Consider the following 14,391-nt stretch of genomic DNA (forward strand, 5'->3'; position numbering starts at 1 on the left):
AACTTGGCCTGTTCATCTTTTTTCTGACTTTAAGTGTCAGAGGCATGTGAACCAGAGCAACTCCATCTTAACTCGGAGCTGGGTAAAATGAGGCTGAGACCTACGGGGCTGCATTCCCAGTTGGTTAAGGTATCCTAAGTCCCAGGATGAGACAGAAGGTCAGCATAAAATACAGGTCATAAAGATCTTGCTGATGAAACAGGTTGCAATACAGAAGCTGGCTAAAACCCACCAAAACCAAGATGGCCAAGAGAGTGACCTCTGGTCTTCCTCACTGCTACATTCCCACCAGCACCATGACAGTTTACAAATGCCATGGCAACATCAGGAAGTTAACCTTTATGATCTAAAAAGGGGAGGCATGAATAATCCACCCCTTTTTTAGCATATGATCAAGAAATAACCATAAAAATGGGCAGCCAGCAGCCCTCGGGGCTGCTCTACCTATGGATCAGCCACGCTTGTATTCCTTTACTTTCTTAATAAATTTGCTTTCACTTTGCTCTATGGACTTGCCCTGAATTCTTTCTTGTGCAAGATCCAAGAACTCTCTCTTGGGGTCTGGATTGGGACCCCTTTCCTGTAACGTAAGCAACATTTTTATTTGTTCTATTCTTTTTTAAGAATTGTGATATAACACACAGAACATAAACTTTACTGTGTTGATGATGTTTGAGTATAATTCAGCGGCATTAAGCGCATTCACACTGTTGTGCAACCATTACCACTGTCCATTTTCAGAACTTTTGCATCACCCCAGACTAAAAACTGTGTGCATTAAACACTAACTCCCCACTCCCCTCCCCTTAGCCCCTAGTAATCTCGATTCTACTTTCTGTCTCTATGAATTTGCCTATTCTGGATACCTCATATAAGCAAAATCATACAGGATTTGTCCTTTTGTGTCTGGCTTATTTCAATACTTGGCATAATGTTTTCAAGTTCACCCATGTTGTAGCATGTATCAAAATTTTATTCCATTTTAGGGTTGAGTAATATTCCATCATTTGTGTATACCATATATTTTTTAATTCACTCATTTGTTGATGAACATTTGAGTGGTTTCTTTCTTTTGGCTATTGTGAGTGATGCTGCTACAAACATGGATGTTCAGGTATCTGTTTGAGTCTCTGCTTTCATTTCTTTGAGAGTATATACCTAGAAGTGGAATTGCTGGGTCCTATGGTAATTCTGCTTAAATTTTTGAGAGACCACCGGTTTCATCCTTTTTTAAAATCAGTGTTCAATATTCACATATTCTGTTTATTTCTATGGCTAACATTAGTTTTTCTTATTTTTTTATAGCAAAATTAAGTATTCCTAAATATTGCAGCCAATTCACCTTACAACCCCTTCCCATATTATCTACCCAGCAGGCACTGTAAGGTCTGTTCTTGGATACTGACAAACATTCTGCAATCCTCAGTCCACAGCTGTACACCAAATATTTGGAACAGAGATCAGTTAACTGATTAATTACTATGACTTTGTGCTCGGGGAACATGCCAAGCACCAATCCCCCACCTTCCCCACCCTGCCTGTGTCTCTGTTCCCTTTGTGTTCCCTACATTCTTTCAAATACCTGCAAATCCACCTTCTCTACCACGCATCAATGTTGCTGGCTTCCATTTCTTATTGATTTTGTATGACTTTGAGGTTTCCTGCCTGGGTACCCAGGACCATGACTCTCTCTCTGGAGATACCCATCCTGACTGATACACCCTAGCCACCTCCCTTTACGCTCCCTCTACTCCATCCTCAGTCCAAGAGCTTCAGGCACTCCAGTCCTGCCCCAGAGACGCAGGTTTCATCCTCTCGCATGCTTTGCAGGAACTTCTTTATTTTATTGTATTTTTTAAAGATAGAGTTTCATTCCTGTCGCCCAGTCTGGAGTACAGTGGTGTAGTCTTGGCTCACTGCAACCTCCGCCTCCCGGGTTCAAGCGATTCTCCTGCCTCAGCCTCTGGAGTAGTTGGGATTACAGGCACGTGCCACCATGGCAGGCTAATTTTGTGTTTTTAGTAGAGGCAGGGTTTCACCACGTTGGTCAGGCTGGTCTCGAACTCCTGACCTCAGGTGATCCACCTGCTTAGGCCTCCCAGAGTGCTGGGGTTACAGGCATGAGCCACCGCACCCGGCCCTTTGCAGGAACTTCTAACACGACTTGCTGCTTCCGCACAATGGAGGTACACAAGTCAGTCACACAGAAACATGCTTATGTATGTAGCTGGCTCTTTGGAGCAAACCTAAGCTAAAGGATATATACTTCCTGGCCTAAGGCATAAGCACCACATACATTTTTTTTCCCTTTCAGAAGCAATATTTTTATTTTTTGGAATGAACTGTGGTTAGAGCATATTGTCGTCTAGACTATTAGGTCAGGCAAAGATTTTTTTCCTTCCTCTGTTTTATACATGTGAATAAAGATGGAATAAACAAAGCATGCTGTTAGGTATTTTGTGCCCATGTTAGCGTAGGCAATTCTAGAACAGATTTTTTTTTTCTAGGATGTTTGAAGATATAATGTAACTTCTCTATCATTGGTTTGAGGTGAAAGACAGAGGTTTTTAGCAGTGCCTTCACAGTGTTTGGGCTGTGTAAAACACAGAAATAGAAATAAAAATGACCAGGATCTGTTGGGTGTGGTGGCTCATGCCAGGAATCCCAGCATTTTGGGAGACTGAGGCAGGTCCATCACCTGAGGTCAGGAGTTTGAGACCAGCCTGGCCAATATGGTGAAACCCTGTCTGTACTAAAAATACAAAATAATGAGCTGGGCATGGTGGCACATGCATTAATCCCAGCTACTTGGGAGGCTGAGGCAGGAGAATTGCTTGAACCCAGGAGGCGGAGGTTGCAATGAGCTGAGATGGTGCCATTGCACTCCAGCCTGGGTGGCAGAGTGAGACTCCGTCTCAAAAACAACAACAACAACAACAACAACAACAACAACAACAAACAAACAACAACAACAAAAAACCCACCAGGATTTCCACTTGGAATTTCTCAAGTTTGAAGAATACCAAACTGCAGAATGCTAAAAATACAGATTTCCCCTTACTTTTGAGAGTTCCTATTCCTGTGCCTTTTTTTTCTCTTTATTTTTTCTCTTTCTTTCTTTTTCTTTCTTTCTTTCTTTCTTTCTTTCTTTCTTTCTTTCTTTCTTTCTTTCTTTCTTTCTTTCTTTCTAATAATTGACTGAAGAATCAAGAAAAATGCTGGAGATGGGCTTAAACATTCCCTACTGGACAGTTCTGGCTAAGGCCTTCTCTGTGTATAAAGTTCCCCAAGACCTTACATTGCAGAAGATGAAGAGTGTGTATGTATGTGTGTGTGTAATTTTTTTTTTCTTCTTGAAACACCCATTTCCAACCTCTCCCTCTATCCCTGGATTCATTTTTGTAAAAAACAAAACAAAAAACAAAGCCCTCCTAGTTCCTTCTCCACCCCTGGCAATTCAAAGGAGTTTTCTCCTTCCCCCTTTCTGTGAGTGTTACTTATGTTATTGTTCATTCATCGCAGAATGTACTCAAATTTAATGCTCACAAAATTTAGGGACCAATTTCCTTCCGCCTCCAGTCTGAGTTGCTCACTTTTCAGTGAGTCTTTCTCACTAGAGGAGGTTATCAGCAGTCACTGGGTGGTGATTGATAGGCAGGAACAGGAAAGATCAGGGGGCACCCCCAGGACTGGAGCATGTTGCATTTCACTGTGATTATTGTGGATGAGAAAGGCAGTTGCTCAAAGTAGGCCAAGGGAAGAAGTGCCTGGTATCCCACCCTGCCAATGTCCTCAAGGTCAGCTTAGGCCTACAGTCAGGAAGGCTCATCCAGTGTTTATCCCGCTCCCTGCTGTACTCCTCCTATAAGTCAAGTTCTGTTTTGAGAGAAGTCCAAGGGCAGTTGTTGCCAAGAGAATTAAAATGGAAAGAGAGTTGACAGAAACATATGCCACATATGCTACATGCTGAATTTTATGAGGGGTTTCCTACCTACATGTCTTAGTCCATTTTGTGCTGCTGTAAAAGAATACCAGAGACTTGGTCATTTACAATGTACAGAAATTTATTTGGCTCACGGTTCTGGAGGCTGGGAAGTCCAAGACTGTGGACTAGACAACAAAAAACCCTCAGTAAATGGGAACTCATATTAGTCTACTAGGGCTGCCGTTGTGAAGTGCCACAGACTGTGTGGCTTAAACAACAAAAATTTATTTTCTCACAGTCCTGGAGGCTAGAAGTCCAAGATCAAGATGTCACAGGATTGGTTTCTTCTGAGTCCCCTCTCCTTGGCTTACACAAGGCTGTCTTCTCTCTGGTCTTCTGTCTGTGTCTGTCTTCTGTCTGTGTCTGTGTCCTAATCTTCTCTTCTTATAAGGACATCAGTCATATTGGATTAAAGCTCATCCTGATGACTTCTTTTTAACTTAATTACGTCTTTAAAGACTTTATCTCCAAACACTTCACATTCTGAAATACCAGGAGTTAGGACCTCTATATATGAATTTGGAGAGGACATAACGGAACTTTTGCTATTTTCCCAGAAAGAGGCTTGAACTTGGCAGCAATGAAGGCAGTTCTGTGCAGTAGAGAGAGTAAGCCAAGGCTGAAAAGAGCTTGACTACATGTTCTAGAGTCAGCCAAGGCTGGGTTTGGACCCTAGCTCTGACCTTTCCAGCTATGTGGCCTTAGGTCAGTTACTTAATGTCTCTGATCTCCAGTTTTCTCTGCCTTGAAATGGGGACAAAATAGGCCACCTGAGGGTAAGCCTGAGGATTCAATGAGATGATATAAAACAGTCTAGCATGGTGTCTGGCTCAATACCCAATTTTCTTACCTTGACTCTGGCTCAGGAATGTGTCTTCACTTCTCTGAGGTCTCCAAGGACTTACCTGTTCAGGGGTCAGACAGATGCATCTATTTCTGATAAGGTGAGCAACTGTCTCCTGGGTCAATGTCTTGTGCCCATCTCACGACATCTTTGAATCACTAGGGAAGATCTCAGTCTCCTGGGGCCCTCATCTCTTCTAGATTCCTGCAGGCACAGCTGAGCCAGCTTCCTGCTTGTTCTCACCCCTCCCAAACCTTCTCCACAGCAGCAGCTCCTTACCCTGCTGAGCTTGGGGTTGAGGGAGGACTAGGGGCCTCCATCCGCCAGAGGTACATGCCCCAAGACAAGCAGAGGATGGGGCAGAGATCTGGTGAGGATGCAAGAGAGGCTGAAGCCTGAAATAGTAGCCCTCCAGCCTTGAATTGGGGCTGAGGCAAATGCCACTTGCACTAGCTGTTGGATTCTAGTGATTAGCAATTCCCCAGGCTGGGTAAGGTGACCTGTTTATTTGTCAGGAGAGTCAGAAAAAATTGCTAAGAGCAGTTGAAGAAGGTGGGGAAGAAGAGGGAGAGTGCCAGGTTAGTTGGAAGAACGTGACCCTCCTTTGCTGTAGAAGGCAGTGTGTGGAGGACGTCCCCGGAGCTTCTCTCTCTAAAGGAGGATGCAGAGCTGCTGGAATCGGTGCACCAAGTGCCATCCACACATCTCCCCCATGGCTCTGTGCTGCTGAGAGTGGGGGCTTCCTTGAGGTCCAGGGCCCTGAGGGGCAGCGGCATCTGGGGCACTTTGGGCAGCAACACCTTCTGAGAGAAGAATGATGGGGGAGTGGAGAAGAGCCAGCCAGGCAAAGGGCAGCTGCACGTGTTTGACCCGGCACTGCCTGGGGTAAGCTGCCCTGCTGGTGGCCGTATTCTCCCTGGCTTCCCTGTCTTGCCTTTTCCTGCCCTTTAATGGCTGGTTTCCACCTTCTCCAGAAGGTGCACAAAGAGGAAGAGGTGACAGAGAAGCAAGTCCATTTTGCTTGGCAGAGGCAGCTGTGTTAGAACTGTTTGGGTGTTGTGCACTCAGAAGCACCCCTTCTTCCCGATACAACAGGACATAGACAAAGGGTAAGTCATCATTGGCCAGTCCATAGCCCAATTGTCTGCAGGAAGCTTTGCCAGGGAGTGGGGAAGGGAATGTGGGATTGGAAGTAAGCTTCCCAGCCTTCCACCGCTTTTCCTTGAAGGCACTTAGCCCCACTGCCCCTCAGCCAAGCCTGGCTGAGTGCCTGGAGCTCTTTCCCCCCCAGCTGCTAAGCCCTGCATGGGTCTGGTAGCCTTACACTGGGTCTGCCCAGGCAGGGCCCAGGCCTGACCTTTCACCATGATTTTCTAATTTCTGCTCCATCCCCTCTGGGCCTGGGTTCTTGCTGCCTGTATCTTATTTCCTTGGCTGGGTCTGGTGGTCAGGACTTTCCTCGGGGGGGACTAAATCCCACCTCCTAAATAAGGGGGGCTGAACCACCAGCTTCTGTACCCCCAGAGTGACACCCAGTGTTGGAGTTGCTTACACTGACCACTGACCACTGGGATTTGCATTTCCTGCCCTTCCTTCCCTCTCCCTCCACCCAGTGACCAGCTAATCCAAACCAGGTTAATCCCTCCAGGCCACCAACCTACCCCTGTGAAGTTCAGCATGCTTCCTGGCTGAGCCACAGCCTTACCACCTGAGAGAGTGACTGCGTGGAGAAGCATACATATTGGTGGACTTCAGATTGACAGCGGCCTGTCCCAGAGCCATCTGTGATTCCTCCTTCCTCTTCTTTGGCCCCCTCCCTTGCAGCTGGCATGTCTGTCTACTGGCTCTGAGTCTAGGCTTTCACTACCTCTTACCTGGAATACCACACCAGCCTCCAAACCAGCCCTCTTGCCCCCAGTTTCACAACTCCAATTCTATTTCCTGATTGCAAATGTTTTAGGACTCTCCATTGCCTCCCACATTCATGGGATCTACAGTGGGACCTTGACCTCCCTTCCTAACATCTCCCACCCCTCATCTGGAATCACCCCTTGCTCAGCTCCCTTGAACCACCTGTCTTCCTGGCTGCATTCTCTGCTCTATCTCCTGAATGCTTTGGTTCACACTGTTTTCTCTGCCCCAGTTGCCCTTTTCCTGGGCCTCTTGGGATACTTCAAGGAAGATTTTGCCCAGCTTGGAGCATGCATGTGCGAATCTGCCCTCAATGTTATCTCCAGCATGCTCCCCGGAAGCCTTATGCAAATCCTGGATCTGCTTGAGAATTGCCCCACGTCTCAATGATGCAAAACAAAAGTAAGAACCCATCTCAAGAGAGACTTCGAACTTCACTTCTGAATCAATTGGAAATTTGGACAAAACTTCTTTTCCACATTATGTCTTTCTCTTTCACTTTCAGTTCAAGGAGACTCACTGACTTTTCTTAAAGGATGTGACTCTCCTTACTGGGCAAATGATAAGTTTGTGTCTGTAATTGAGACTGCACTGGTTATCTTTGTTCCGTGACATGACCACATTCTATATTTTCTTGATATTCCAGCCAAGGAGTTGCTTTTGAATGTTTTCAGCGTTCCATCTGTTCTCTTGCAGTGATCCCTCATCTTCTTTTATACATTCATTTAACAAATACTCAGACATTATTTTTTGTTTTTGTTTCTTTGAGACAGGGTCTCACTCTGTCACCCAGGCTAGAGTGCAGTGGTGGTGTGCTTATAGCTCATAGCTCATTGCAGCTTCGAATTCCTGTGCTCAAGCCATCCTCCCACTTCAGCCTTCTGAGTAGCTAGGACTACCAACAAGCACCATCATACTCAGCTAATTTCTTTTTTTTATAGAGATGGGGTCTTGCTATGTTTCCCAGGCTAGTCTCAAATTCCTTGGCTCAAGTGAACCTTCTGTCTCAGACTCCCAAAGTGCTGGGGTTATAAACATGAGCCACCACACCTGGCTGAGCCATTGTTATTCCACTAGGCTCTGTTATTTGCACTGGGTTGTGGTATTGAGCAAAGCAAACAAATATAGACACAAATCCCTGACCTCATGGAGCTTACATCATCTATGGGTAGAGACAGACAATCCACAACACAAGAAGTTATACACATGGTGTGTTAGATGGTGACAGGCTGGGAACGAAGTGGAACAGGGGTAGGGAGTGTGGGAAAATGCTTCCAGTTTTGAATAGGAAGGTCTCGGGAGCTTAACCTAAGCCAGTTTGGGTATGTGTAATTCTTAAGCTGTTTTTAGTAAATAGTAGTAGACACTAAGGAGTTTGAGGTAGGTGAGATCATGAGCCACTCAGCCATAATGCCACCATCGGGGAATAATCAAAGCACATCTCAAATGGAATTCTGCTTCTGTATTTATTAACCAAATGATTATTAGTAAAGCAGACCACAAATTGTTAATACAACCTGTTCTGAATTCTCATCACTCTCTACATTTCTGAGGTTCTGGCCTTGTAATTGGGATCAGGTAGTCACACATTCTTTCAAACCAACAGATGGACACAGGGCGGATTAGGCCTCAAGTCTCTCCTGATGAATACAGGTTATAAGCCTTGTGTAATTCTTATGCCCATTTATGTAAGAGTAGGGGTTGTCTGGGCTGGGCGTGGTGGCTCACGTCTATAATCCCAGCACTTTGGGAGGCTGAGGCAGGTGGATCACCTGAGGTTAGGAGTTTGAGACCAGCCTGACCAACATGGTGAAACCTTGTATTTACTAAAAATGCAAATATTATCTGGGTGTTGTGGTGTGTAACCCTAGCTACTCCGGAGGCTGAGGCAGGAGAATCTCTTGAACTTGGGAGGCAGAGGTTGCAGTGAGCTGAGATCACGCCATTGCACTCCAGCCTGGGCAACAAGAGCGAAACTCCGTCTAAAAAAAAAAAAAAAAAAAAAAAAGAGTGAGCGTTGTCTGTAAATAATTGTAGTCAATCAATGATTTGAGCCAATCCAAAAAAAAAAATTCTAATTTTACCTTGATTTTAACTTTCACCGCATTATTTAGCATATTGCTAGTTTTGCCAATAAAGACATTTAAAAAAAATTTAATGTGTTAATTAGCAAAGTATTGGTTGTTGCTTGAGATGCAGATGATAGAAACTTCAGATTTAGCAGCTTTTGGAGGGTGGTCTTTTGAGGGCCAGCTGAACTGTGATTTCTCCATTGCATGTTGGCTGACCGGCTCTAGAATTAAAGCTTCAGTGAGCTGGCACATACATAATGTCCTACTGATTGTACTGAAGTATTTTAAAGTAAATTACAAATATTATAAAGGTGGTTGGGGAAGACTGGAAGGTGGTGGAGGAGTGAGTCCTGCATCCTTTGGGAAGCATGCTGGGCTGAGGGGACCATGTGTGCAATGGTCAGCTCAGCAGGAGTGTGCCTGGCCTGTCTGAACAACAGCAAGGAGGCCAAAGTAGCTGGTGCTGAGTCCAGGAGGGAGAGAAGGGGAGTATGTGGTGCCAGAGAGGCGGTAGGGACCAGATCACCTGGGGCTTCATTGGCCGTTGGGTGATGGAAGCCTTTGGAGAGTTTTGCACGGAAGAGTGACATGAGCTGGATTGGATTTTCCAGGATCAATCAGGCCACCATGTTGAGAATTGACTGTAGGGGACAAAGGCCAAAGTGGGAAAGCCAGTTGGGAGCCTGCTGAAACAGTCCAGGTGAGACTAGCCAGGTCTGCAGATAAGTTGCAGGTAGAGTGACAGAATTTGGCGATGGATGGGGGTGAGGTCTTAAGAGTAAAAAAGAACCAAAAGCTAACTTAAGATGTCTGAGCTGAGCAGCCAGAAGATGGGAGCTGCAATTCACTGACACGAGGAAGACTGCTGGAGAAGAGGTGTTGGGGAGGGTAGGGGAGGGTCAGGAATTCAGCTGAACAAGCTTGAGAGGTGGAGTGGTCACGTGGAGTGTACAGTTGCACATAGGAGCTTTAGGTTCAAGAGAGGAGAATAGGCAGGGGTCGTAAATTTGGGGATAATCCACATAGAGATAACACTTAATGTCATGTATCTGCATGTGATAACCAAGACAGTGAGTGCAGATGGAAGAGAGAAAAGAGCTGGGTATAGTGGCGCACACCTGTAGTCCCAGTTACTCAGGAGGCTGAGGTGGGAAGATCACTTGAGTCCCGGAGGTCCAGGCTACAGTGAACTATGATGGTGCTGCAGCACTCCAGCCAGGGCAATGCAGTGAGACCCTTGTCTCTAAAAAAAATAGATAGGGAAAAGACCCCAGGATCAAGCTCTGAAACTCTCTAACATTAGGAGTTTAGGGAGATGAGGGAGAGTTAGAAAGAAGTCTGAGAAGCCACTGATGAGAGCAGATGGGAAAGAACGCCAGAGGAGCAAGTGACCAGGCAGAGGAGGGATCAACTGTGGAAGAGGAGGACCGACGTCTGACCACTGGGTTAAAAAATGTGGAGGTCACCAGTGCCCTTGGAGAGAAGTAGTGCAGATAAACAGTTGGGGTGGACTCAAGAAAGATGGGAGAAGCAGAGTTGGAGACAGTGATTATAAACCACTCTTCTGTTCAGTATTGCTGAAAATGGCAAGAGAAAAATGGGAGGTAAGTCCTTGAGTTTCCAGTGCTATTTGCATGAAGTCATTCCTGTATTTCTTGATCGTTTCCTACAGGCTAGGGATGGGTGCCAGATGAACAAGGCCTAGCCACTCCCCAGCAGAGGAAATTCTTCTGCAAACAATGATAATTCCGAGTGGCAGGTATTCTAATACAGGATTGTACTAAGTTCTGTGGGAGCATGAAGAGGCAGAGACAAACTTTGTGGAAGCCCAGGGAAGTGGCATTTGAGTTGGTTGTAAAGGAAGGGTGGTGGCTGCCAGGTAGAGTAAGGGAAGAAAGTTGTTCTCAGTGGAAGAAAGAGAGTGTGTCCAGGCACAAAATGGGGGATGTCTGGAATTCATGCAGTGGAGGGAGGTGGGGGCTGAGGCTGTTAAGGTTGTAGACTTGTGTGGAAATTGAACTTTTATCCCAGAGACCACAGGAAATGCTGGGAGTCTTTTTAAAAATAATTAATTAATTATTTAAGTAGTCAAATAAAAATTGTATATATTTATGGTGTACAACACAATGTTTTGAAATGTGTATGCCAGCCTGACGTGGTGGCTTACTTACGCCTCTAATCCCAGCGCTATGAGAGACCGAGGCAGGAGGATCGCTTGAGCCCAGGAGTTTGACACCAGCCTGGGGCAAGATGGCAAAACTCCATCTCTACAAAAAAATACAAAAAAATTAACCAGGCATGGTGGTGTGCACCTGTAGTCCCAGCTACTGGGGAGGCTGGGGTGGGAGGATCACTTGAGCCCGGGAGTTCGAGGCTGCAGTGAGCCAGGATGGCGCCACTGCATTCCAGCCTGGGCAACAGAGTGAGACCCTGTCTAAAACAAAACAAAATAAAACACCGAAAAAAGTATGTATGCCTTGTGTGTTAAATTAAGATAATTAACATATACATTACCTCACATACTTATTACTTTTTGTAGTGAGAACACTCATCTACATTTTTAGTGATTGTCAAGACCACAATACACGTTGTTTTAACTATCGTGCCGTGTTGTACCATAGGTCTCTTGAACTTGTTCCTCTTGTGTAACTGACATTTTGTGTGCTTTGACCAACATCTTCCCACTCCGTTCCCCCAGCCCTCAGTCCCTGGTCACCACCATTCTGCTCTCTGCTTCTAAGAGTTCAACTTTTTTAGATTCCACCTGTGCGTGAGATGAAAGAGTGTCGGGATCTAAACTGTATTTGGGGAAGATACTTCTGGGGTCTTAGGGTTAGAGACTAGAGGCAGAGAGACCAGTAGGGGGTTTCTGCCATGGTTTCGGCAAGAAACGGGGGGCCAAGATGAGGGCAGTGGCTGAGAGGAAGTTCAGGAGGGGAAGGATGTGGTGGGAGCCACAGGGCTCAGTGACTGCTGGAGATGGGGACTAGCGGAGGGCAGGCCTGGGTAACTCACAGGTTTCTGGCTGGAACTGAGCAGATATATTGATGAGTCTTTTCATCCTCATAGTACTTACCACGTAATAGGTTCCTGAAAAATAGGCCTTGCTTGTTTGCACTTAAATATGAAAATATGAAAAACCTACATATATATATATATATATATATTTTTTTTTTTTTTTTTGAAAAGAGAAAAGGTCTTAGTCTTTCGCCCAGACTGGAGTGCAGTGGCGATTATAGCTCAAAAAACCTATAAGTGGGCCGGGTGTGGTGGCTCACACCTGGAGTTCCAACACTTTGGAAGGTCGAAATGGGAGGTTTGCTTGAGCTCAGGAGTTTGAGACCAGCCTAGGCAACATGGTGAGACCCGTCTCTACAAAAAATTAAAAAATTAGCCAGGTGTGGGGGTGCATGCCTGTAGTCTCAGCTGCTCAGGAGGCTGAGGTGGGAGGATCTCTGGAGCCTAGGAGTTTGAGGCTTCAGTGAGCTATGATCACACCACTGCACTCTAGTCTGGGCAGCCGAGGGAGAACTTGTCTCTAAATAAACAGAAAAAAGAAAAAGTAAAATAAAAAAAAATTTATATAAGTGAATTCTGAAATCAGTTTGCAAGAAATCAAGAGCCCAGCACACAGAATGCCCAAGTTTACAGAGACTCGCAGGGGGTCTGTGTACCTGGCAAGCTCAAGAGGACTTCCATGGAGCTGGACACTCACCATCTCCCTGAGGAGCAAAGATAACCACGAGGAATAACCAGAGCAGTACTGTGTGACAGCGTTGACAATCTGTGATGTCCTGTGTGCTGCAGATGGAAGTACACTGGGAGTCTGGAGAAGAGAAAGACCAGATGAGACTTCCAGGTAGGCCCTGAAGGGCAGGTAGGATGAGGACAGGTGTGAATGTTTCTTATGCCTTTGCTATCTGCCAGCAGCTGTTCTAAGTGATACCCGAACCCAGTTGATCCTCACCACAGATCTATGACGGGGACCATGCGATTGCTCCCAATTTACAGATGAGGACAGTGAGGAACGCACAGCTTAGGTCACTCCCTGAGGTTCTCTGGTAGGAGCTTGCAGGTGGTAAGCTCAGGTGGGCTCGCCCCAGAGACTCTTGAAACCTCCACAGTGCTCACTGATGTGCACAGGTGGAAGGGCCGTGGATAGCCCTTCAGAGACGCAGCAAGCCTCTGTGACCGGCCCAGGGGTGAGCAGGAGGTGAGCTCTGATAGGCTGTTGGGGAGATGGCCTTCACAGGCAGTTCTTTGTACCCAGAGACAGTTGGTTACCCAGGGGAAATCCTTCCTGACCATGGAAATCCCGGGGAGGAGGAGAAGGGAAGGAAGTGGAGAGGCTGCAGGGAGGTGCGGGCCCCCAGCGCCAGGGGTGCAGAGTGGGCAGGCCGGGTGCTAACTGCCCAGGGGTGTGGCAAGCAGGGCCCTTGCTAAGGGTGCTTCCCAGACAGCCGCTGCAGGCTGTGGCCTTGATCAGGGAGAGTGGGAGATGAGTGCCCTTGTAGCCCGTAAGGGGCCGGGGCTCAGCGAATGGAGCTGCTCTCGGCAGGAGGCTTCCCTTCTCCTCCTCATCACATCCGCTGGAGTGAAAGGAAGAAAAGGATCTCAGGAAGAAGGCCGAGTGGGAGCAGGCCCTGTGCAGCCGCAGGCCCCCCAGTCCCCCTTCTGTCTCTTACATAACAGAAGAGACTGCTCTCTCCCGGCTCTCCAGGCGAGGAAGCCGAGTGTGTCTGCTGCGTGTGTGTTTCTGCTGCCAGCCACTGCCCAGAGGGGCCACCGGGCGCGTCACAGCCTCTTCAGCCTAGTACTGAGGGCGGAGGAACTCCTGACTCATCCTCAGCCCTGAGTACTGCAGAGCCGCTGGCCAGCTGCCTGCCTGGGTCACACGGCTGCCTCTGATGGCCGGAACCTAGCAGAAGGGGGGCTTTCGGAGCCCCTTTCCACAGGCAGTCCCGGCCGGTGGGGAAGAGGATCCCACCGTGGTTTTGCAAAGAAGATAACGCCATGTTATTATGCATTCATGCTACAAAGACATAGTGACTCCCAGAAGGGCTGGGTGCTGCTCTGGGCAGTGGAGCCACAGCAGCGAAAAAAATGAATGAGAAACCCTGCACTTGAGGATCACATGTTTCTAGTGAATGAATGAGTGATGCTAACCAGATTCGTGAAAATTCTATGCAGCCTGAAGCTGAGGTTGTCCCATGGGGCATCCCCATCCTGTGCCCTGCCTCCACTCCAGACCCTGTGCTGCCTGGGCTACCTTATCTTGCCTCCTGGTCCTGGCCACCCCTGGAGTCAGTACAAATTATATGGAAGGCCAAGATTAGATCCAGAGCTGTGGGCCTCTTCTACCTGCCTGGCTCACATCACAGCCTCCAAAAGGAACAGACTTCCCTAAAGCCTGGTTTTTGGCAGAGCTTGCAAAGGAAGACCTGGACGTGCTCAGCCAGACAGAGACAGAGGTGACTCAGGAAGAGTCAGCGTGGGGTTTGCTTAGAAAAATCTCCCACGCAATTTGAGCTTAGGTTGGGCCAAAACGGACATCCTGGGAAGCTCACATTGTGGACAAT

General features: G+C 47.0%; 1 long non-coding RNA gene across 1 annotated transcript, besides 3 other annotated features; it reads right to left on the reverse strand.

Annotated features, from left to right (window-relative positions):
- Positions 5,672 to 6,172: an enhancer, noted in NCBI's record as "H3K4me1 hESC enhancer chr8:29222945-29223445 (GRCh37/hg19 assembly coordinates)". NCBI's record gives its function as "activates a minimal SCP1, AML or CMV promoter by ChIP-STARR-seq in naive H9 embryonic stem cells {active_cell/tissue: H9 hESC(naive)}" and the evidence as "EXISTENCE:reporter gene assay evidence [ECO:0000049][PMID:30033119]".
- Positions 7,108 to 7,337: an enhancer, noted in NCBI's record as "active region_27188". NCBI's record gives its function as "activates an Ori minimal core promoter by ATAC-STARR-seq in GM12878 lymphoblastoid cells {active_cell/tissue: GM12878}" and the evidence as "EXISTENCE:reporter gene assay evidence [ECO:0000049][PMID:35858748]".
- On the reverse strand, positions 8,188 to 13,636 carry LOC105379349 (uncharacterized). The gene is made up of 3 exons (XR_949623.3): positions 13,498 to 13,636; positions 12,528 to 12,638; positions 8,188 to 8,722 (listed from the first exon to the last, which is right to left on the reverse strand). It is a non-coding gene; the product is annotated as an uncharacterized LOC105379349 (long non-coding RNA).
- Positions 14,025 to 14,114: an enhancer, noted in NCBI's record as "active region_27189". NCBI's record gives its function as "activates an Ori minimal core promoter by ATAC-STARR-seq in GM12878 lymphoblastoid cells {active_cell/tissue: GM12878}" and the evidence as "EXISTENCE:reporter gene assay evidence [ECO:0000049][PMID:35858748]".

The sequence above is a fragment of the Homo sapiens genome, chromosome 8 (assembly GCF_000001405.40).
Source record: "Homo sapiens chromosome 8, GRCh38.p14 Primary Assembly".
NCBI lineage: Eukaryota > Metazoa > Chordata > Mammalia > Primates > Hominidae > Homo > Homo sapiens.